We start from the raw sequence: 24,739 nt of genomic DNA, 5'->3' as shown, positions 1-24,739 counted from the left end.
GTGTTTTCTTTTTGTACCATTAAAGTGGGCAAAAACAAAAGCAAAAATAAAAAACAAGCCCTCAATTCTTTAGAAGGGGAGGAAAGGAATGGTGGATTCAATTGCAAAATTCTTTTTGAATTAAAAAAAGACAAGAATAAGAATGAGGACAGGAAGAGTAAGAAAGTATGAAAGAATGAATGAAAGGAAATTGTAAAACTAAAGATGAACGAATTTAAGTGATATTACATAGATTCTTGGAAAAGCTTTCATCTGGGCCAAGCATTACACCTGGTTAGGAATTCCAGGCTCAGGTGGCCCCATGGGCAGTTTTGGGTCTGTTGTTTCTACTCCTTGCCTGTGGTCATTTCTGAATACTTTAAATCCCTCATGGGTAGATGGGTGGTCAGGACAACTCAGATGAAGTCTTCCCTGGGTTCCAGGTGCTTCCATGGCAAAAAATGCAGGAGGACCAGTGTTTACATTTATGAAAATATGTGTGGATCAATGACTGTTGGTATTTTCTGTGTCTGTGAAGCTCTCTCTTGCAACAGTGTTAAGTTAGTTTCATAGGTCAGCTTCATGGGAAACAGGGGCACTTCTGAAGCATTTGAAGGAGGTGTAAGAACAGGGAAAGGATTATTTTCCATATAGAGAGCAGCGTGGGAAGAATGCTGCAAGTTTGGAATGAAAGAGATGCTTAGATAAACATGAAGGAAAAAAAACTTACTTGTAGAAAGGGATGAAGGAAGGAAGTAGGAGGCCAGGACCCAAAGAGCGTTTTGAACCTCAGGATGAATTTTGCCTTTGAAAGTAGGAATATTTAAGGGTAGAGCAGAGTTATTGAGTAAGCTTATGAGATAGGTAACTTTTTTTTTTTGGTTACTTTTCCTCCTACTCATACTGTTGTTAAAACCTCTGTATCAGTTTATCAGAATAAGCGTTAAACCTCAGAGAAGATGACAAAATCAATCAGGTACATATTTTCAAGGTACAAATGGAAAATAACCTCGGTCAGGCACAGGAATCTGCTAAGCCTGGTGAGTGTTTGTAGATACGGGTTTTTTGAAGTATCTAGGGTCTCCCACTATGTGCCAGGTGTTATACCTGTTCTCAATTAATTACTTTTTTTGTGTGCAATTAGAGTTGTGTGATGCGTTTAGAGTTGTGTGATGCATTAGTATCATTCATGTTCAGAATAAAAATGTGTTGTTGAGTCTGATTTTCTTTTTCTTTTTTGTAGAAATGAGGTCTCGCTATGTTGCCCAGGCTGGTCTTAAACTCTTGGCTTCAAACAATCTTTCCACCTTGGCCTCCTAAAATGTTGGGATTACGGGCATGAGCCACTGCCCCTGCCCAAGTCTGATTTTGAAATACCCTTTAAGAAATTTATCACAGGAAATTTTCAGTGAAAGAGTTTCCATGTAACCGACTTTTGTACTTCTAGTACCTACACATTTCTCCTATTTGATATCTTTTGCCAAAAATTTAAGTTAATTCCATACCTTATGCATCAGTTGTCTCACATCATTAAGACACGAAATAAATGCACAGAATGCAATGAAGAATCACAGATGATAAGGAAGACCTTACCGTATTTGTTCCTTACCAGTAGGAATAAATATTGTGTATGAAATAAACAGCATCCACTCTGTGAGGAGAATGTGGGCTGGAGAGTCGGGAGTGTTGGTCTCCAGCCACAGCTCTGCATCAGTATCTGTCTGTGTGACCTTAGGCAAGTCATTGCATTTTTATGCACCTCATTTTCTTCATCAGTCAAATAAATTCATTGGAATGACGACCTGTCAGATTTCTCCTAACAGTGACATCTTATGACTTTAGGTAACATTTAAAACAGCCAAGGCTTGGAGAGAGTGTAGACTGCCATTCAAGAGGTAGGCAACATGGGGATTTGCATCCTAATCCCCAAATTCTGTTAATAACAACTTAATCATTGAGGAATTTTGGGTGCTTTGGTAAAGGGCTACTTCCACAGAGAAACAGAGATGTTAGAAATTGTTGCCAGCCTAGCTCACCATTGGGGAAATGGAGGCATGTTGTCTTGGGTAGCACTGAACCAAGAGTCATACCTTCCTCATGGTCTTCCTTTCAGCTTCCCTTTTCCATGAGCCGTTGCTGCAGTTGCAGCGGAAGGCAGCTCCAGTGCAGGTTCTCACCTGGAGGAGGGAGATGTAAGTCAAGCATTCAGTAGGTGAAGCAGCTAGTCCAGCTGCTTCCGCAGGCCGAGTCTGTGGGCTGAGTGATGAGCTTATTTCATCCAATCTGCCTCTTCTTGATAGGCTGCTCTGGTCAGAAACAGTCCCTCCTGCCTTGAGAATGCAATCTGCTGTTAGCCACGGCAGTGCCTCTTCCTGACAGGCCCAGTAAGTCAGGGCCCTGGCCTGCTGTTTGCACAGAGGGAAAGGCCAGGCCTGCGTGCTTTGGGTGCCCACAGAATGGTGTCTAGGTGGCCACCGGCTGATCCTTCACTGGACACACGCTGCTTAGCAGAGTTGGAGCCGGACAAGAAACCACCTGCCTTGGCTTCCCCAGCCACCCCGGAAGCTACAAATGTACTGGGCTGTGGCGGCGGTGGAAGAGCGGTGCCCGCACATGGGGGTTATCTGAAGTCTCATCTGATTGATGTTATTTCTGCATTTTGAGAAAGGTCTGTCGCAGTTACCCTTCTCTTTCCAAAGCAGGGACCTAAGTTCAGCATGCCAGTTTTTGGGGGAAAAACAAGGAAAACGATCATTGATGACAGTGTAGAGTTTATCTACTGGTGCTTGTGTAAGCACTTCTCATCTCCATCCATCTTTTCTTTTTTCCTCATGTTCTGTTTATTTTCTGATAGTTATTGGGCGCAAACTTTGTGCCAGTATCCTCATTATTTCGCCCCAATAGTGAAGCATTATTATTGCCATTTCATAGATGAAGAAACTGAGATTAAACGACTTGCCCAAGGTTGCAAAGCTGCTGAGTGGAGGAGTTCAGATTCAAACCCAGCTGTAGCTAACTTGAAAATTCCATGTCTGTTGTTTTCAGAATTCTCAGAAATATTTGGGTGTTTGTGGAATTTGGGGGAAATACTAAGGTCCGTTTGTGCATATTGTTTGCTAGTTCATCTTAATACTTGGCTATATCTGGTAGCATTTTACAGTTTGCCATGTGACTTCACCACATTTGAGCTCATGGTAATCCTTAGAGTTACCAATATTTTACAAATAAGGAAAGTGCAGTGCACCGATGCCAAGTTACCCTCCCAAGGTTCCAGGGCAAATAAGCGGAGAGTTAGAACATGAAGCTCCAGTCAGTTTCTCCAAATCCCCTGACATTTGAGTTCAGCCACATGGATTTTAAACATTTCTTTGATTCGATGAGTATCTAGTACATTCACTTAAATATAATAATGATGTTATTAATAAACGTTAGCTTGAGATCAAAGTGTCAACAAGGCATTCTTTTCTCTTTTGGTGGAGGTAGATTTCACCCACATATTTTATGCATCTATAACAAGTCCCACATAGCTGGCTGATTACTGAGCTTTGAGCAGGTAGCACTGGTCACTATGCACAGATTAGTATGATTACTGAGCTTTGAGCAGCTTGAACAGATCACTATGATATAGGCTCTGGAAAGGTTGTGCAGATATGCCTGATGCCAAGGCACTGGCAAAATTGTTGGTAGGCTGGCAAGTTAGTTCCTTCTCAAGGAAAAAAAAGTGTGAATGATCCTATAGGTTACTAGACAGACATGCAGTTTCCCTTTGGAGAAGGTTGACTTTGGACTTTGAGAAATACATTTTTTTTTCTTTTAATCTAAAGAGATTTGAAAATAATAGATGTCCAATTTTTGTTTACCTATTCTGAACTATAAGGCACATTGCTTTGTTCTTCTGTGCCTCAGTTTACCCCTTTTAGTAAAGGAGGTCTATTTTAATCAGTGAGAGCTTCAGGTAGCTGGAGGAATGCTTCAGGAAACACAAAACACAATGAAAAAATTGTTGAATCTTAAGCTGCATGTTGTGGAAAAGAACTGTACCAAGGAGGCATACAGAGATTAATGTCATCTTAGATGAACAATTTTTTCACCCTGCTAGTTTCCATTTGGGACATAGGGTGTTTGCTGTGGTACCATGCATAGACACTCAGAGCTTAGCAGAGTTATGTCAGATTATCTCTCTAAAACAATGTGTTGTTCCTTACCAAAAAACGTAAGCCCCTCTGGCCGGACCTTATTTTGGTCATTATGGGAGGCAGAGCATTCCAAGGTCAAATGACGGGTTTTCCATCTGGGAAGTATTCTTTTGGTTGCTGGTGTTTCCTTGGGAGTGGATGTAAACCTTAAGTAGCCAGTAGTGACCTTGAGTACCTCTGGATTACTAGGGAAGGGGAGGTAGGGATGGGAAGTTGGGCGGTACACCTGATTATAGCAAGCATGAAGATAATAGTTTTAAGTTTGCTGTTTTGAATCTGGGCACTAACTTCAATGCTTGCCAGGAAAATCTTATCTTGTAAAGCAAATCCTAGTGAGGTCACGAAGTGTGTCTCCTCCTCCAATTGGGGTTCAGCACTATGGCTTGGTGCCCTCCATGTACCAATAGTTTTGGGTCAGGCCTAAGGGGTCCTTGGTCTTAGCTTTGCCCGGTTTGAATATTTTCTCTGCTGTTAACTGGGCAGGGTGGCATAGGTGGTCATCTTATTACCTTCTGTTGCCTGATGTGAGAATCAGGATACCCAAGTCTGGCTTTACCTTAAGCCACCAGATATGGACACATGTCTGCATTATCTTTGTATTCTTCTCCAAGAAGGATGCTCCTAGTGAGTGAGCTGCCTTTCTTTGAGAGAGAGTGGGAAAGTTAATGAGTTCACATTTAGAAAGTACTCTGGAGTCTTTGGTGATTCAAGGAGTGTTATTAAATTAGTGGGAGATATGATACGGAGTGGGGATGCTAAATACATATGAGCTCCCCAAGGGTGAGTCATGTGTATGTGTACAGGAAATGCATCCTTATTTCATATAAGATCAAGAGTTCAATCTTACACCTCCCTTGCCTCCTAATGGAAACCAAACATTCTTCAAAACTGCTGGATGCTTGCTTTTCTTTACATAACTGCAGTTCAGTTGGAGGAGTGAGAGAAGTGAAGCTAATATTTACAGAGAGTACCTACTATGTGTCAGATACTTTGCAATGTGCTTTACAGAAATACATAATCACATTCTTTAAACAACCCTTTGAGGTTGATGCCTTAATTCCCATTTTGTAGATAAGAAATTGAGTCCAGAATTAAGTTCAGATAATTTGCCCAAAGCCATAGAGTTTTCAAGTCATAAATTTGATCTTAGACCTTTCTAGTTGCCAAGGCCTTCCTACTTAGACAGAATCCATTTGGAGAGAAAACTTTCTAACATTCTTCTAAGAGGTCTTGATTCTTGGCACATTCTTCTGTGTGATGTGTTCTCTGTCAGGCTTGTCATTATAGGGGCAGGAAGAACGCACTCATTTCACTTATACATATCTACCATTGGGATGTGTTAGTAGTGGGAAAGTAAAAAAAAAAAAAAAAAAAAAAAAAATTTTCACCTGATTTCCATGGTGCATTTTCAAATCCAAAGTAGACACATGAAAGGTGGCTAGCCAAATTTACTAAACTTGTGTACAGAATTGGTGCTTTGGCCCCCACTCTCCAGATTAGACAATTGAGGAATGAAGTGAGAGCTCCACCCCAGCTTGAGAGTTCTCCAGGGAGGGGATGTTCAGAGGCACAAGCCTAGGGCTTGAAGCTACTTGATGCAAGAGGGACATTTGTAGAAAAGTAAACACACACACAGAATGAATCAGCATCTCCACGGTGGACATAATGTTAACCTCTGATTCAATTGGAGATTTTTAAAAATAAAGAATCTATTTCTGGATTTCTGAAGGTCTCTCTTGCAGGGAGCTTTGTGGCTTTTCCATGCCTTCCACCCATCCTCTTCTGTAATGGATGATCTGATGAAAGAACTTTGAAATTTCAGGCTGACTGCAAAGTCTCCAAAGGATCTGGGGTGCTGGGTGAACCGAACAGCGATTTAGTTTTTTTAATGAGATTGGGCCCTGGGTGACTTGCCGCTGGTTTCTCCTGGCTTTGATCAAAATATCTGCCTAGTGGCATGGTGCAGGCAGAGAGTGATGAGCAAAGATGATGCAAGTCTTCAGTTGCCCCCGACTGCCTTGGTTCGTAAGAAAATATTTTCAGTGTTTTTATGGGCAAACAAGTTCTAAGGAAGTAATACTTGAATTTCCAAAAGCTGGTGCAGAATACACACTAGGCTCTGCCTACACGAGCTAGTCACAAATCTCTTTACGAATCTTCTCTAAATTCCTGTTCTAGAGGAGCCTAAATGAAATTCGCCTTATTTAGTAATTGGTTCTTGGTTCTTATATTTGTCAGGTGGATTTATTTATGCCACAGGCTTTTTACCATGATCTTACGATACAGAGTTTAGATAAACCCTATTTCTCTTTGGGTACCTAAGCCCTCTAAGACAAAGGAGAGGGATTTACATTTAGGGTGCTTGATAGTAAGTAATTGAGTCCCTGAATCACACAGCGTCCCTTTCATTATGTTGGTTATAATGATATTCCTCACTGGAGGCAGCACCATGTCTTGAAAGAGCAGAGTTTTGAGGTAAGACAGCCCTGGGTTTGAATTCAGGCTTGATCTTTACTAATTTTTCCTTAGACAAATTATTTAACTTCTGTAAACCTTTCTTTTCTGATCCTTACAAAGGAGGTAATAATAAAGAGCTTTCAGGGCTGTTAGGATTAGAGATAATTCCTGTGAAAACTTTTATACTTTTTCATTGCCACAGGAGCTCAATAAACCATTATCTTGTAGGTCACTAAATTCTGTACAAAAGTTCATTGCTGCTGTCGCTGTTATTACTTCAGCGGTTGTTAAAACTGTGGTTACTATTAACCTGGTTACAGAAAATTTTCCACTTGACACCTCCATAACCAAGTGGGCCAGAGCCGTCCCTGTGGCCAGTTCAATTATTTTCAAATGCCTCTCACGCATTCTTACCGAACGTGAGTTAGGGCTTGAGTTATGATTCCAACTCTAAAGCATTATTTTTAGACATTGCCCTTGCCACTTCAACAAGGCAGTTTTTTGGAATTGATGTTATCAGGATTTAAAATTATTTTAATTGCTGAAGTACTGTCCTCTTTGCCCTGGAGTCTTTTCTTTTCTGGGAGGTGACCCAGCCATTCAAGGTTTAGGAGAAAAACTCTGTACTTGATAATACAGCCAGGCAGGATTAGAACTCCTGTTCTCCCAGGCGTCATTTCCTGAGCTAGGCTGCTGCCGGGAAGGTCCAGGTCAGTGAAGACCTGGCAGCCCCCTGAAGATAATAAGATTCAAGACAGAAAAAGCCCACCGACCTTTCCTTCTTTGCCACAGATGTCCCTCCTGTCCCCAGAAAATGGCCATCGCAGTTCTAGCAGGCTTCCCCTAAGGAAGATGTCTGCAGGAACCATGCACCTCTGGGGTTTGCTGGTTGCTGATTGCAATGGTTGATTTATAGCCAGAATCTGGCACCTAGAAAAGGGGATCCTGCGTCTTTAAACAGCTGTGCGCCACTGTGTGTAAATGTGCTTGCTAATCCAGTGACTAATTCAGTATATTATAAAGCAGCACTGAGCCGGCTGCCAAGGCAGGGCTGAATCCCAACTGGAGTGGTGTGTAAGGCTCAGAGAATTATGTCTTGAATTCTGCCACACCACCCGTCGCTGAAATCTCATCTGGTGTGTTCCCTGAACCAGCGCTGGCCTTCTGGTTCCTGTCTGCCCACTCCGCTCCCTCTCCTTCCCTCTCCCTCCCTCCGTCCCTGCCTTTATTTACTCATGGAGGGTGGAGCCCGGCTCGATCTGAGTCAGGGCCAGGGAACCAATCAGAGGTGCTCTGGGGCATTCCAGGGGCCAAAATTCATGATCCCTTTTGGAAAAGAATTTCCCAAAAAGATCCCTGGCATCACAGTGTTGTGACTGCACCTTCCTCAGTTCCTGTGCAGTGAGCCTTCACCGCCCCCACACCCCACCGCCCTATCAGCTTTTCCTCTGTCTCCCCCACCAGGGACTGGAGGGCGAAAGAGCCCTGTCTGATGGAGACTTCTTCCCCTTGAGAATCTTTTGTATGTAAGTATAAAGATGCACATATCACTTTAAAAGAGCACTCGGCAGCCTTTTCTGGGAGCATCTTTAGGGTAGGGAACTTGAGGGATTTTGTTCGTCTCCTAGAACCTGTGGCCCTTCCTCTTTAGTCCTCACATAAGTGGTCCCAGAAATTGCAGTTACCAGGTGTCTGCCTCTGGAAATGGCCCGTGCCCAGCCTCTCCCACGGTCGGTCTCCCAGTGAGCATCGCGGGGCTTCCATCTCACAAGGATTTCCAGGTGGCGGAGGTGGCTGTGGGAGATCTCATCCTCTCGTCTTCCCTTTCAGTAATGCCACCAACTGCCAGGGGCGCCATCCTGGACACCTTGCCCGCCTTCTGTCCCTCACGCCCTACACCCAGGACATCTTACGTGCACTCCTTCCTACCCCCTCCCCTAGTGCTTCTGGACCCCGCTAGTTCACTCACTCTGCATTGCAAAACCTTCCGCTTCAGCCGTGATCCCAGCACTCATCGTCTGTTGTGAGCATATAGCTATTGCTTCTGTACTTAGGCGGTGTTTGCTTCTCCCACTAGAGGGAAACTCTGCCTGAGGGATCTATCACCAAGGTATTCATTGTTGGGCTCATAGCAGTGGGCCAGTAGCTCTTTCTCTCTCTAACATTTACTTTTTTTTAAATTGAGATATAATTGATATAACATAAAATTTACCATCTTAAAGTGTACATGTCAGTGCATTCCAGTACATTCACAGAGTTGTGCCATCATCATCAACGTCTAATTCCAGAATGTTTTCATCACTCCCAAAAGAAGCCCCATGCTCATGAGCAGTCAGTAGCTCTTTCTGAAAAAAAGAATGCTGTCCAGCTGGGATGTGAGGAGAAGGGCTCGTATTCCTGATCTGGAGCTTGGAGCACACACCTGGGGGAGCGCTGCATCTCCCCAATCTCAAGGGACTTTTTCAGTCCCTCCTTCCTCACCACTCAAGCCCAGGGTTTATTCTGAGGGCTCATTGGTTAGGCTCCACTGTGTAGTGAGCTAGTGTCGTCTGGACAGAGATAATGAGCGCTTTCACCAGCTGCATGCAGACAGTTCAGTCCGGGGAGCTTGGGGCTGTGGTGGCTGCAATTTCCTAATGGCTTCCTGATGAGGCAGAGCCATTTATTAGCAGCGGATGAGGGCTGCACATCCCAGTCTCTCCCTTTCTCACCTACCCAGGCAGATGGAGAGTGGCTTAAGCTCCCTCCGCCTTTTGCATTGATCACTTTTTGTCTGCTCGCCACCCATTGGTTGGTCTCGCCCATTGATCTGGAGATTGGGTCTGCCTGGCGACTTACCACCCTCTTGGGCTTGCTACTGGGAGAGGCGTCTGAGGCTGTCTGCCCTGGGTCCGTGTGGGCGAGACTCTGGGGCAGCAGCAGGAACAATAGAATGCTGAAGATTGGGTGTTTGGGGCCATTAAAGAGAAGCCCATTGGGAAGGAGAAGAAAAAAATCTGTGGGGTCTAGAAGAGATCACAATGAGGTGGATCTTTCCTGGAACCCTTAGGTCTCTGCATTCCGACTGCATTTGCCTTCACAACTAGAGCTGCTTGTGTTACTTCAGGCCATGGCCTTTCTGGGGGTCAACAGATAGCTTCATTAATTAGATAGATCAGATTCAACTTACTGGCCAGTGCCCCTGATATTAAGTTCTGGCTTTGTCAGTGGGGTTTGTTGTATTCCCTCAACCCTATCACCATGGCTCAGTGACCCTATTTGGAATACCAGCAGGACTAGAAGGGTAGTGGTGTAAAACCTTTAAATGATATGAGGCACTCTGCCTTTCAGTGCTTTTTAGATAAAGGTTCATAGATCACTGAAGTTAACTGCAGTCTTCACTCTTTCTGGATTGACAGGAATAGCACCCTCAAATTTCAGAGCCATCAGACACCATGGTATCATGCTATCGGAGTTGACTGTTGAAAGTTGCTTAATATCCCTGGTATGCAACAAGGATCTTTGCTAGGAGGAAGCTTTTCCACCTTAGAGTCTGACCATTGGTATTCCAGACTTATAACCTGAAATAGGAGTGGATAGCATCATGAATCTGTAAAATCCCATCATATTTATTAGATCTTTGGATGGCTCATTCCTCTGTGATTCTTAATAACTTGGGGAGGAGTAGTGTTTATCCAGAATGATGAACCAGGACTTGATAGTAGTGAAGATATAGGAGAAAGCCTCTCCCTCCCAGTCCACTGTTGTAAGTAAACAGCAATGATGTAGAGGAAAAAAAAATCCTGAGAGGGAGCCAGAGTTCTAGAATTAGTAACCAGTGACTTAAGGCAAGTTGATGTCACCTTGAGCTTCATTTTACCCACCAGTAAAAGAAAAGGTTTGAACTAGATGACATCGAAAGCGTCTTCTAATTCTGTATTCCAGGAATAGTGTAAGACCCCTGACCAGTGGCAGAGCTTGGCTCCTCCTTCTCTCCACTTTTCATCCATTTTATAACTATGTCTGGTTGCAAGGAAAGAGAACATCCCTCCAAGGAGTTGTTAAAGTTTTATAGCAAATTCTGTAAATTCCTCTTTTCTGCTTTTTGGTCCTGGATAAGGCTTTATGCATCCTATAGCTATAGTGAGGGCGGGATAGAGGGACAGAGGCAGGGAAATGTGTGAACACACCAGGAGAGGACTCGGGCTGATAGTTATTGCTCCAGGCCATAAAAAAGGCCAAAGCCAAAGAGATATAGAGGCCAAAATTATAGATTAGGTAGGTCTACACAAACCTTGGAGTAGGCTCGTATGATAGGTTTAGCAGTGAGCGTAATGGTTTAGGGAGCATAAGCATGCTCCCTTCAAAGCTTATCTCTCTAGGCCCCTCCTTTTTAGTGCAGGAAACTTGAGCTGGGTCCCCACAATTATTGCCTAAATCCCCGAAGTCTCAGGATTTCTGACTCCTCATTAGGGACATATATTTAGATTTACTGCACTGTGTGGGGCCTGAATTCCATTAGATGTGCCATGTTGGGGCGGCACCATCGGTTTTTGGTGTGTTTAGCTGGCGTGCTGGTATTTTTTGGAGCCTGTGATAGGCAGAGGGACGGCCATCTCATGTGCTTACCAACATGCTCAGGGTGGGGATTTCTGCATCTTCTCTGATGTCAGCCTTGCTTTAGGGTAAGAATGTGTGTCTCTCTGCCTTCTCCTGACTCCTACCATGTGGTTCCCATGTGGCTCTTGTGAATTACACTGGGATGATTCAGCAGGGCCCTTAGAGAAGGGAATAATTAGTCTGTTGGGAGCAGGGGATAGGGGAGGAGTCAAGGAAGCAGTGTTTGAATGAAGTACCGTACCAGGTCAGGTGACCTATAGATCACTCACTTAGATCTTCACAGTTTGGTCTATTTTAGGTGGTCCAATGTTTCATCTGAATTTCAGTCTCCACCATTTGCATAGCATGAAAGATGTACTAGTATGTTTGCTTGTTATGGGCTTGTGCACATTATCTGTTGTCCTGGTAGTTCAAGTTTATGAGCGCACCCTCCAGATGGTCTGGACCCTGAGCATCTTGACACACTTATGAAGTTGATGAAGAGCATGTGGGGCTGGGGAAGGAACGTGATGCATCCCTTTTAACCATTTCTTGGCTCCTAGGGTTCGTTGGCCCTAGCAGTATCCAGCATGTGCCTGCTCTGTGCTTAAAATTTTAAGTTATAAAACATTTAACTGTTTGCTACTAGTTCCCTCCCAATGGGTTGACATTATCTGGGATGTTGTCTGTAAAATATTTTAAGCTATTTAAAGGAAAAAGAGAAAAAAAATCTTATTTAGATTTGTATATCTCCTTACATGTTGGTTTTCCAGGAACAAGGTGGGAAGTTAGTGACAGGAACTTGAGGCATGAGTGGAAATCTGAAGTTACTGCTCAGGGGATCTCTTTGTTGAGCCCTGAATTTCTTGCCTCTGGGAGATTCCAGCTTTGCACGTGGGATTCTTAAGGCTATAAGGTTGGACTGGATCCAGAGGGTGCAGTTGCTTACTGTTGGTTGCGCATTAATGCTAAGGGCTGTCGGTGGAAACTCACAATGAAGGCATGCAGGAGGAGATGCCTGCAGGGGCTCACGGCCTGTGCCTCCCTCCCTGTTCCTTCCTCCCCAGCCCAGGCTCTCCTCATGTTCAGTTTGGTGTCTGTCACAGGCTAATCTACTGGTGGCTCTTTTTAGTAAGGCTGTAGGAGGATTAAGGATACAAGTAACACAGTTTGGGAAGGATTAAAATTGAGTATCTCTCCAAAGCCATGTTAGAGCAAAAGATGAAATTCCAGAAAATAGAGATACCATCAAAAAGGGGCTGAAATAAAGGGAAGAAGAGATTGTCCCTGAGATGTAATGCATACATATCTGTGAATTTCAGCTCTTGGCCTCTTTATTTGTCTCCAAAGAAATGAGGAGGGAACTTTCCCAGGGAAAAGCTCCTTTATAGTGCTCCTAAACATGTATAATTAACAGACCTAATAAGACTGTTGTTTCAGAAACCATAGAGTTGACCTCCATCGATTGGTTATTTTTTCCTTGGCGTTCCCACCTTCCTGCAACCTCTGTACAGAGAGGCCTTAATTGCTTTGGGCTGGGCAGAGCAGCAGTTACTTTTCTCATCTCTCCCTTCTCAGCAGTGGCTGTATTTTAGCAGAAGGCAAGCAAGCTTAAGAGAACCTCTAGGCTAAGAAGCAACTATACGAAGAAAAAAGAAGCCCATTTCTAAGCAGGCAGCCTTCTTGGTGACCTCATCTTCCTCCCAACTTGGGTCCAGTTGGAGCTGTGCATACAGGGCAGACTTCCAGTTCCTCCTGTCTGGGACTAACAGTGGCAGATATAAATAGACCAAGACTTTGTCTGTAGCCATTGTTCTCTAACTGCCCATTGTTTCTAGAAGCAAAGCAATGCTGTGGCTGCAGCTCTCTTTCTCTCTCTCTCTCTCTCTCCACCCCACCCCCTTTCTCTGTCTTTCTTTATTTCACTGTACAGGGGTCTGAATTCCAGCTCAACCATTTGTACTATCAGCCACCTTTCACTTGCCAGATGCTTAGAAACTCGAGGGGAGAACTGGCTCCACAAGTGGGAGACCAACTGAATATTGTAACCTCATATTTTGATTCCAGTAATGCTTTTGTCTGAGTCTTTCCATGATATATTTGTGGTCAAGACAAAGATATGTGGATCTAATGATAGTAAAGTCAGGAGGATTTGTAACTGGTTGAGCAACTATACCCAACGGGTCTTGATTAATGTGTCAGTGTCAGAGTAATGCATGGTCTCTGATGTTATGTTATGGGGATCAGTACTTGCTGGTTGCCTTTTCAACATTTTTATTAGGGGCTTAGAATAGAGAAAGACACAGAAAGCACACTTAGTGCATTGCAGATGGTGCAAAGCTGAGAATGATGGCTAATAGGATGAGCACAGATTCAAGGTATAAAAAAGTTCTTAGAAACATGGATCGAAACAAAGTGAAGTTAATATGGATAAATGTGAAGCCCTGTTGTGAAGTTAATAAAATTCAGTCAATAGGTACAGAACTGGTTCAGTATCACTTTCTATGGAGAGGTCCTGGCAATGTCCTTTGAGTGGCTTTTGTAGTTAGGCTGTTAGATCAGTGTTGTCTTAGTCTGCACCAGTCAAAGCTTATGGAGTAAGATGATCATCTCATTGTTCCCATTTAACTTCTGAGAAGCACGATGTTCACCTATGAATGCTTGTGATGCTCTTCAGGAACATAGGCTTAGAGGAATGCTTCTAGGTGGAGCGAGGGGAGTGGCCAAAAACCATGCCAACATGAATGGTTGAAGGAACCACGGAGTTTGGAAACCTGGACGGAAGTGATGATAGGAGGAAGAAAGCAGGGGAAAAGCTGCCAGATAAGGACAAATTTGCTTTGTGCTGCTGATCTCTCAACAAGCAAAGCAAGGGCCTATTGATAGAATTCATAAGAAGGCAGATTTAAACTCGTTGTGTCTAATCATTTTTAAATAATCATTTTGGCTTATAAGTGAAATTGTGTAGCTCAAAAAGGATGGGGCAACCAAATGTCTTAAGTGAGAAGACTTCTGGGGAAGTATGGTGGTCGTTCTTCAGGTCCTGCCCTGCCCCTCATGACCACTCATCATCAAGTACTCCTCTGTGGATCTGGAAGCTGGAGCAGGGTGTGCACGCATACTGTGTTGCTTCAGTGCCTGTGGCTGCCAATATTGAGAATCCTTGTCTGATGTACTGGGAAAATGGACTTGCGTATTCTTATTTTTCATTGTGGTTTCCCTGGGTTGAAAACAGACAGTTGCACTGTGTGAATGTGTATGAGTATGCTTTTTCCTTCTCAGTCCAGATTTATTTATTAAAAGAAAAACACATCTGCATAAAAAAGCCTTAGAACGCAGGAAGAATGTCCACTTTGTTTTTCTTTCTGTAGCACCGAGACATGTGGGGTTTCAGCTTCCTCTAAGAAGTTTTTGAAGACTGGCTTTCATCTCAAACAAGACTTTTTCCCATTGGAAAAACGGTCCTTTTTTGGTTTAAAAATGTATTTATATAATGTATAAATAAATAAGAAAGTTGAGAGAGAATTTCCTTTCAAAATTGATGAAAAAATGTTGCTTTCTGAACATCATTAATTGGGAGTCGGTTGTTGCCTCTTCCCAGGCCATTGCCACTCTGCATTCTGTTTCTTTGTTCTGGTTTACAATTTTCCAATATTCCCTTTCTCTGCTTCCTGCTTTCTTCCCTCTCTCCTCCCTTCTTGGCCAGCTCTCCTCCTCTGTCTGATCCCAGCTCCAGCCTTCTCCCTTGGCGGCTACCCCCATGGCCACTGCACCACCTTCCTAGCCCCCGTTCCTCCTTCCTTTCTCTAAGCCTTTCTTCCTTCTGCCCTTCCCGGGCTAACTTTGAACAACTGAAGCCCTCACTGGAAGAGGCCTGTCTCTGTGTTTGTTTCCTGCGTGGGAGGGAGAGGCAGGCCTTGAGAAAACAGTTCAAAAGTGCAGAAAAACTTTACCTCTTCCAGCCTAAATAAACGGGCTCTACTCCATTTGTTTGCCCAGATTTTTCATTTGCCCATGGAGAAAACTCCTCATCGTACACCTTGCCCAGCCTGGCCTTCTTGGTGATTCTCAGCACCACTCTCCCGATGCCTGTTTTACCCCCCGACCAAGTGCCAAGTGGGCCCCGAGCCGAGGTTTGACCAGGCCAGTTCTGGGTAGGACGTGCAATGGAGCCTGCTGTCGGTAGAGAGTCTCGGGGATTGAGGTTCTTCCCTGCTACAGAAAGAGCTTTTTCTAGAATGAAAATGTTGGAGAAAATGAAAAAAGAAATGTTATCATGCCCCATCATTTTTGCCTCATTTGCTTTTAATTCTGTGAATAGGTGCAGGGAGAAAACACGTGGCTTGCGTGTCTGAAGATGTGGGATTGAATCCTTGTTATATCACTTTACTGGTTTGATAATCTTAGTTAAGTCACTTAAGAAACATTTGTGAGCCTCAGTTTCCTCACCTACATGATAAAGATAATAACTACAAGTGCTTGTTTTGAAAAATCATATGAGAATATTCAAGAAAATGCTTTCTAAAAGATACAGTTCTAGTCAAATAGCAGGAATGATAATTATAGGTGGGAGTTAAGTGAAATTAAAATAAATTGGTTAGCCCAATTCATCAGCATCTGCAAGATCTCAGAGGATGAGGCCTCAAAGGCTATTATGTAAACCAGAATTAGTGGAAGCTGGGATTATAGCAAGATGTAGTTGTCAGATATTCTCCATTGTCTTCCTGGATGGGGTTATCCTATGTCATGTTGGTACCAAAAGCCGTATGATCCTGTCATGAGAATTTTAGTGAAGGCAGGGCAGGAGTTTTCCTCATTCAGAAGTGTAAGATGTGGGAAGAACCAATAGGATGCAATGTGGTTCTCTGCAAAGCCATGGAGACGAAAGAGCCCAACTCATTCTTTCCTCCTGAGTAATGTAGAGACCATGGCTCTGTGTTTTTCAGATAAAGAAGTCACACTGTTCTGGGACATTTAGGAACTATAAAGTATGTCATGTGGTGGGAGTCAGGTGTAATTATCTATGCAGGAAATGCTTTGAAACATGTGAAGTACTTTGTAAATGGCTTGAAATGATCATTTAAGAAGCTTAAATGATTCTTTAATGTACCCTATGGAGGTGGTCCTTGCACACAGGAATCATAATCTCAATAGCTAAAACTTCCTTTTAAATTGCTTGAGTGTCGTTAATTTAGAGGCCCATAAATGACAATTAAAACGCAGCTTGGGTTTTGGCAGATTCCAAACACATAGAAAAGAGTTCTTAGCATAAAATTATACTTTTGCTTTGTGCCATATTGATTCTAAAGTGGAACTCTTAGGACGTTTTTGCAACCAAAAGGCATCTTAGGTGCATTGGATTCATGTAGTTCTGAAGTGTCACGGCAAACATATTTTAGATGCTTATTGCTGCAAAAAGTATTTCCCGTTAGCAGATTGGAGGATGCAGAATAGGTAAGAAATTAGTCTATTCTGTTAGAAAAAAATGCCAGTTTCAGGGGATGTCAATTTCCATTTATATCTCAGAATCTGATTTTTGCGTTTGTTTTTCTTATTTTCTCAGTCGCTTATTTGTACCTGGAGAAATTGCCAGATTCCTTCTTGATGTTTCTGTAAGCATTGGGAAATAAAATCTTTTTTTTTAAGTCTTTATATTTTATAAGATGCTTTTCAGTATAATCAAGTAGCCAATGATTTGTTGAGCACCTACTATGTCTTAAGCTTTGGCATTGTCACACATAGTCCACTTAATCCTCACAGCATGGTGGGTAGAGCATCCTAGAGAATGAAAGCGAGCTTCATCTGAGGGGCTTTGAGACCTGGTTTATGTACCTTCACTTGCCAGGCTGCTAGAGAAAAACACATATTTAAAAGCCTTTCCAGCAGGACACATTCATTCATGTATTTCCTATTTTAGGCCATTTGCCCAATGTTTAGGGTGGGAGATTTGAACTAGTCTAAGGAATGAGCGAGAAAATTTAGCTACAGGACCAAGGGGGCAGTTCTGCTTTCTGGCTGGGATCCTGGAACGGAAGAGCCTCTCTGGGTTTCCCTGAACACCTGGAATTGATTTGGGTTTTGCTCTGACTTCGAAACATTTGCTGAGGTGGAGGATGGTGGAGGAGGTAGGAAAGAAATAAATCCAGTGATTAAAAATAGCTTGTGCATGTCAGGTGCCTGAACGAATTTGGGAACATGCCTGCAATCCCTTTTGTCTGGCAGGTCTGAACTCCGGCGCTGCCGAATTACAACTGCTTTCATTTGTTTTTCCTGCTTCCCTACCATGTAATGGTCAAGGGCTCATTGGAACCATGTGTGAGCCTGGTGAGTCACCAAATCCTCAGGACTTCAGTGGTAATAATGTGTTAAAACTCCTTTTGGGGGATGGGGCAGGAGGTGGATGAAGGGAAGAGGGAGAAGTCTGAGGTCACTTCCTACAGATGTTCAGTGTGCTGAGCCCTCTCTACAGGCTTCTTTCTCAGGCCTGGCTGCAGGACCTGAAACCAGCTTCTCCATGCAATTTGGAGCTGCCTTGCAGGAGACCATCTCTTTTGTCTTAGGGCAGCTTCCCTCTGGGGAGAGGCATCTCCTCTGAGTTGGCACATTGTACCCAAAGAGCGTGCTTTCCCTAGTGACTGTGTGCATTGGCAGCAAACCGAGATACTGTAACTTGAGACTGGCTTGCATTTTTGGTCAGTCAGGTCACTGGAGGGTGAATTGGGGATTTTCTCTGCAGCTTCTTCTCCCTTCTTTGCAGTGGTTTTTACTGGCTGGTGACTTCGAAAGGGTTAGGTATTAAAAGAAGTTCAGAAACCCAGTTGTATGTTTCCTAACTCATATGAGTCTCTTCCAGGTCTCATAGTGTCCTGTTGTTTGGGACAATAATAGACGGTTTGGTTGGGATGGGTGGCCTCAGCATGGGCACTGAGTCATTTATTGCTTCACTCTTGCTGGAGCCAAGAGTCCTGCGTGTCCCCCATTGTGTTGTCACATCATTGGGTTTATGAAAATACAGCCGAGGGGCTGAGGAGGGACACTTCCCTCCCTTCTTTGCATTAACCTTAGCCAGAAGCTTTGTGGATTATAGTACCTCCCTAAGCTGGAAGTCCTGCCTGCCCGGTTTCTAGTGCCTATCACAGGAATCACTTACCACTCCCTTCTACTCTACTTCAACCCTGCCTTTATATGAATGAGAGAGGGCAATAGAGACTGTCTTTCTTTGAGATTCCTTTGCACATTCTTCTGAGATCATTAGCTTTTTTATCAGGAGAATCCTCTTGTAGACCAGTGACCACCCTCCAGGGGTCATCAACTTCAGAAGCAGAGCCGTCAGTGTGGCTGCAGCCATTTCTCTATTTGTGTTGGTCTGAAGGGGTAAAGGCACCTTATCTCCTAAACTGGGACTTGTTGTCGGCAGTTTGGCAATGATATTACCTTTCACACTGCCCTTCTGTGCTGGCCAGAACTCCGAGCCTTTTTATTTGTTTTGTACACTTTAGTTACAGTTGTAAGTTCATGAGGATGTTGACCATTAAGAGGAAATATCACTGCAGCCTTCTGCTTGTAGGAAATGGAAGTCCCTGGAACTGGCTTACCATCTTGATTTGAAATCATCTCTGTGATCCAACATTGGCACTTTCCAGATCATGACAGTGTTGCTTTGAAAGAAGTTCTGTGGTTCAAGTGGGCCAATGCATGAAATATAGACCTAGATTTAAGCATGAGAGAAAGTAACTTGAAGGCTTTTTTTCTTTTTCCTTGAGTTTATTTGCCTCTTATTGAACTTTAACTCTATGATCTCCCTTTATCTAAAAAATATCCTTGTGACAATGAAATATTTGTGGGTGAAATGACTTGTTTTCTGGGATTAGGTGTATAATTCTTCTGCGTGTGTGTATGGGTGTGCATGTGTGTGGAAGATGAAATAAAAACGGGTAGTATTGATAAATTTTGAGTAGAGTTTCTCTCTACTTTTATGTATGTTTGAAAATTGCCAAATAAAAAATGTAAAACTCTATGAGGGATATAGACACCACCTATGAACAGACCTCTTTTCAAAGTGAATTGAGTAAGTGACTTATCCAGTGTGTCTACACTAATGGCGTATGTGAAATCAGAACCTATGGATTTTGATCAACAAGTTATCAACAATGCACGCCCCTCTCTCTCTTTTTTCTTTGTCTTTAGAATCCTATCTTTCAGTTTGGAGAACTGTTCTTTTATCCTCTCCATGTGGACCAGAAGGTTTATTCTTGGTTTACTTTTACTTTAAAAAATATATTTCAGTAAGCCTTTATGTAACAAATTAAACTTCTGTTATATGCAAAGTTACCCATTAGGTTGAGTCAGGGTTGGACAGAGAAGGAAGCCAGGTTTTCACTTAACTCATTTGCTTCATATGGAAGGAAGCCTCAGTTGCCTGAGTGCCAGGAAAAGAAAAGATTATAGTTGATTCTGTAAATGGCTCTTAATTATGTTCTTACGGGGCTAGCTGTATGAAACCCTGGGTTTCTTGGAATAGTTTTAAGTTTTTAATCACTCCTAAAATCTTTCAAAATAAGAAAGGAAAAGTCCCATTTTTTTTTTCTCAGCTCTGAAAAATGTTAGTTTTCCTGGATATCTGATCCATTTCTGTTTGCAGTGGAATAGAGAGAAAGACCCTGAACTTTAAGAGTTAGAAGACTGGCTTCTAGCCCCAGCTGGTCCCTCTTGGCCTTGTGACTTTAGGTCAAGCTCTTGATCTCCCAGGGCCTTGATTTCCTCATCTGTGAAATGGGGACCTTGTGATACCTTTCCAGGCCCCTCCAGTTTTATGTTTAGAGGATATTTTGGAATAGTGTATGTGAAGAGTCTTGGCAAACTGTAAAGCATTTCTCAGGTATAAGGCATATTACTCACTCTTAGTATTTCTTTCATGCTGCTATTGAGTGTGACCATACCCAACACACATGACTGGTATCATAATCTGATGGGGTTGGGCCCAGTTCAATGGTCATGCAAAACTGGGACATGCACCTTGGATTTCTTGTCCTTGGCTGTATCCCTCATCTCCTAACCCTAGGATCCCAGACGCTCCAGTCTTCACATGATCATTGATTGAGAATAGTGAGAGCATAAACTCGTGAGGTCAGTAAGGCCAGATGTCTTGAACTTCTTGCCAAACAAAAGCCACCTAGTGTTTAGATTCTGTGTACCATTGTTGGTAAGAGCCATTCGGTTTCAAAGAACTGAAAAGAGTGGTATGAAAAGACACATGAAACACCCTGGAAGGTTCTTGGAAACTGAACAGCCCTTAACTTTGAGTTACATGTAAGTGAATGGAAACCCTTGTTTTACATTTCACTTGAAACATCTATGAGGTGGTTCAGGGTTAGGCCACAATGAAAAATGAGCAGATGTTTCCCTGCATTCAAAATGCCACTAGCTTATTCTTCTGTAGATTCAGAGAAAGCTACCTGCTCACTTCTGTCTAAATACTGTGCAATCTCCTGCAATGGTTATTTAATCACCAGCTTCTGCACAACTGTCCTTTCAGAGGTCTAGGGGAATTCCTATAAATATTAACTGAAATTTGGGGTCCCAAGGAATAATCAGTGGGCAGGAAATCTAATATAATTGCAATATATTTATGTCCTCATTTTCCAGTGCGTTGTGTTTAGAATCTCCACTGTGTTGGCGTAGTGTTTCTCCAGGCCGGATTCTCAGCATTTTGAAACAAATACGTTATTTGAATTTAAGATATTGTAATTATTAGCACAAAGGAGATTTCAGTATTTTTCCATAAAATATAATTAGTTAATGTCTATGGAGGTAGTGATTAACTTTCAGACACTGATTCTAAAATTAGAAATATTTTGTACCTAATGTAAAAATATTATAATAGGTGATGAAGTAAAGTATTTTAAGAGTAAAGCGATATCTGCTTAGGCTAAGTCATGTCAGATTTTTCACCCGTGTAATGATTTTGTCATTGTTTTTGATGAGTATATTGAACAGAACTGCTACAATCTGCAAACAACATGAAGAGAATTTTTGAATTAGTATTTTATATGGTGAGTTTATTTTCTATTTAATATACATTTTTGAGCATGATTAGTCATCACTTAAGAGCAATGCTCACACAACCGAAAAAGACAATCTTTGCCAACTGTTCACTTAGTTATAGAAGGGAGTTTGACTTTTTTTTTCTTTTTAAACTACAATTCCACACTTTATAGGATAAAGTTCTGACTTTTACATCTGAATCCTTTGGCTCCAAAGACAATGCTGTGCCTTCTCTGGAGCTGATCAAGTCCAAATGCAAGTGTCCTAAGTGGACAGGGATGGTTTCCCCCAGCTGGGATGTGAACCCTTTTTTTAAAGAGATCTAGCACTTGAGTCTCACAGCCAGAGGGGCAGAGCCAGGCACCTCTGATGGGGCCCCAACAGCACGTGGACTGGGCTTGTGGAGATGGCATTGAGGTGGAAAGGCAAAAGTAATTCTAGCTGCTTTCCTGGGAGAGAACAAGTGAGAACCCAGAAGTGCCTGCCCCCTGACAGGAAGCAGAAACCTACGTGGAGAATTGTCAGCTCAGCAGTCCTGTCCAGACCACACTGCCAGGGCTTGTGTAGTTATGGGAGGCAGACTCAAGGAACTTCTTTTTCAGGCTTTCTGCTGTCGTCCTTGGCTGTCACCTCACACTGGCATCCCACTGTCCCAGCTTTCATGTTGAGAAGATTCTGGGGGCCTCCTAGTCAGTCTCATTCTTCAGTTCCCGCTACAGCAGAACCACTGCTTGTCCATTTGGCCTGGCCTGTGTTTTCCACATGTGTTGTCCTGGCCAATTTCCGCCATCAGTAAGGTCCTTTTCATCAAGTCATAAATCTAATGGAGGGAACAAACACACACAACAAAACCCACACAGTTCAAGTTAATGAATTTGTGTTGGATGGGGGTGAAGGGAGGAAAGTTGCTTCAAATTTGGAAAAATTTAATTCACTCAACATTTGTTGATTGACTTGTGTGTTTAGCCATGTGCTGGGAGCTGGGGCTGCTACAGTTGTTTCTTCTCTCAGAAGCAATACTCTCTGGTTAACTAGAGAGCCCTTTTCTCTAAAGTAAAACTGATTTCTACTCTAAGGGAAGACATTTCTGGACCTGCCGCTTAGCTGTTCTTGGAGGTGTAGAGTGGGGATGGATGGGGAGCAGCCATGTGTTTCTTAGTGACTCATTTGATGATTACTCCATTGTTTGAAGGGCTGGATGTTATGTAATCAACATTCTATCCCCTCCCCCAATTACTTCCCCCTAACAATCTGGGATTTTCCATCATTTTGTTAACCTTCCTGGAGACATGTTGATTTTTTCCACTAGATTTTTTTGGGCATGTCCCAGGGCAACCCAAACTTACCACTCCCTGGAACTTCAGATTCCTCGTCATTGGCAAGGCCTGGAAGAGCAGCTAGGGAGCCCTTCTGTTCTTCCAGGGCACAGCCTGGACTCTAGCAGTTTCCTGACAGCATCACTAAAAGCAAACAAGAGAGAAAGTGCCACCTGTCCTTCTTTTATGCAGTGTAATCTCCACTTAGTTCGACATTCAGAGGCAATATATTTGCTCCTTTCTTCAGAGGTTTATCCTATGCTTAATTTCATTCAGCCCATAACACATTGTTTGTGTCCGGGGAATATTTTTTAACGAAGCAAAGTTTAGAAATGGCCAGTTGAAGAATTTCTGTAGTAGCCTTGCCTGGAACTTAGTCATTTTATAAGTCAGTTTCATGGGATACACTGAAGATTCAGGTTTCTAGAAATCACTTTGGTAAAGTGTATCACTGTCAAAAGGTAACAGGAAAGCTAGTAGGGATTCTCAGCTCATTTCTTTGCTTATTCACTTTTTGTGGGAAACTGTGCCTGAGGTTAATTCAGAAGATGTTTACGTTCAGCTGTATTTATGTACCAACATCGTGAACATGGTCTGCAAATACAGGAGGATCTGGATGGACATAGCAGAGATTAAGGTGCATGTGGGTGTGGCAAATGATGATACATTTGCAAATCTGCAGGCTGTAATGCCTCACTCTTCTTCACTACTGACACTAACCAAGCTTTATAGATTTTTCGTCCTGTATGCACTTCAAGTTGACTTGAAGTCATGTTCACTTATGTTATCTGCCTTGCCACTTTTGTAGTCAAAGCCACCATCCTCTCTCACCAGGACTGATGCAATAACTTTCTAAAATGTCTTGCTCATCCATTCATACTCACCCCTAAATCACTCTTTACAGAACGGATAAGGTGATCTTAAAACAAAATGATCTTTTTGTAGTTGATGCTGATGTCCCTGCTCTGAGGACTACACTTTGAGAACCACTGATCTGGAGTATTCTTTTCTTCCTAAATTCTCATGCATCCTTCACAATTCAGGTCAAACATCTCTCATCTTCTAAGGGAGGCCTTTCCTGTTTCCTTCAGACTTCCAGGAATTCCTGTTGCACATTAACGTTGCATCATGTACTTCTCCTTTGAAGCCCTTATTGACATTGCATTTGAACATTTAACTGTGTAGATAGATTTTTAGTGGCTGAATCTACTGCAAGAATCAGATAGCTAGCTCCTGTGGAGACTATTTCTGTGTTGCTCACTGTTGTTTCTTTAATTCCTTGCACAAAGCAAGTGCTAGATAATCATTTGTTGAATGAATGAATATTGTTATTTCATTTTCATAGGTAACTGAAAGTATGTAGTAACATTAATATTCTCGGTAAATGTGAAAGATAAGCAGGGACTGTGTATAAACTAGTAGAGGTGTTCAGGAAGAGTAAACATATTTGTTTGTCAGGGATGCAGGACATTTTAGACCTAGCACAATGTGGAAAGCCCCTTAAATGTTGCCTGCTCATGCTGGCACAGTGGCTCATGCCTATGATCCCAGCACTTTGGGAGGCCGAGGCAGGTGGATCACTTGAGGTCAGGAGCTCGAGACCAGCCTGGCCAACATGGTGAAACCCTGTCTCTCCTAAAAATAAAAAAAACTAGCTGGGCATGGTGGCACATGCCTATAATCCTAGCTACTCAGGAGGCTGAGGCAGGAGAATCGCTTGAACCCAGGAGGCAGAGGTTGTAGTGAGCTGAGATCACGCCACTGCACTCCAGCCTGGGTGACAGAGCAAGACTCCGTCTCAAAAAAAAAAAAAAAAAAAAAATTGCCTGCTCTGGTGCTCTGGTGAGGATGCTAGCACAGTTGTTTCTCAGCTTGCCTTCTTACAGCCCATTTGTAATGTTTTATGATTGGTTCATTACCTATGTAATTTTTGTTATTCATATGCAATTTTTTCATGCAGATATGGAATGTGCAGATGTCCCACTATTAACTCCAAGCAGCAAAGAAATGATGTCTCAAGCATTAAAAGCTACTTTCAGTGGTTTCACTAAAGAACAGCAACGACTGGGGATCCCAAAAGGTATGGTTTTGTAGTTGGAAAAAGAGTGGTTGGGGTCAGACCCTTTGGGAAGACACATTTTCTCACCTGGAGTGTGTGAGGCAGACGTT

At 42.8% G+C, this 24,739-nt stretch overlaps 1 protein-coding gene across 10 annotated transcripts in view, besides 3 other annotated features; it reads left to right on the top strand.

Moving 5' to 3' along the window:
- ETS1 (ETS proto-oncogene 1, transcription factor) overlaps positions 1-24,739 on the top strand; it is a 128,794-nt gene that overhangs the window by 72,452 nt on the left and 31,603 nt on the right. For 7 of the 10 annotated variants that reach the window (XM_017017314.2, XM_017017315.3, NM_001143820.2 and 4 more), the window contains one exon: positions 24,531-24,650. The exons of 1 other annotated variant lie outside the window; for it this stretch is intronic. In XM_017017314.2, the coding sequence (XP_016872803.1) occupies positions 24,531-24,650 (120 nt within the window). Of the gene's footprint in view, positions 1-7,641; positions 16,823-17,432; positions 17,535-24,530; positions 24,651-24,739 lie in introns of those variants that run through there. 2 more of the 10 variants (XM_047426526.1, XM_011542650.2) reach the window with 2 other exon arrangements.
- Positions 11,259-11,553: an enhancer, noted in NCBI's record as "tiled region #9161; K562 Activating non-DNase unmatched - State 24:Quies". NCBI's record gives its function as "activates a minimal TATA promoter and a strong SV40 promoter by Sharpr-MPRA in K562 cells {active_cell/tissue: K562}" and the evidence as "EXISTENCE:reporter gene assay evidence [ECO:0000049][PMID:27701403]".
- Positions 11,259-11,553: a silencer, noted in NCBI's record as "tiled region #9161; HepG2 Repressive non-DNase unmatched - State 23:Low". NCBI's record gives its function as "represses a minimal TATA promoter and a strong SV40 promoter by Sharpr-MPRA in HepG2 cells {active_cell/tissue: HepG2}" and the evidence as "EXISTENCE:reporter gene assay evidence [ECO:0000049][PMID:27701403]".
- Positions 21,466-22,665: an enhancer, noted in NCBI's record as "CDK7 strongly-dependent group 2 enhancer chr11:128362337-128363536 (GRCh37/hg19 assembly coordinates)". NCBI's record gives its function as "activates an origin of replication core promoter dependent on BRD2, BRD4, P300/CBP, MED14 and CDK7 cofactors, with strong dependence on CDK7, by STARR-seq in HCT116 cells {active_cell/tissue: HCT116}" and the evidence as "EXISTENCE:reporter gene assay evidence [ECO:0000049][PMID:35650434]".

Source organism: Homo sapiens, chromosome 11, assembly GCF_000001405.40.
Source record: "Homo sapiens chromosome 11, GRCh38.p14 Primary Assembly".
In the NCBI taxonomy this organism is placed as follows: Eukaryota; Metazoa; Chordata; class Mammalia; order Primates; family Hominidae; genus Homo; species Homo sapiens.
The sequence above is the reverse complement of the archived record's forward strand: the minus strand, read 5'-3'. Positions and strand labels throughout refer to the sequence as shown.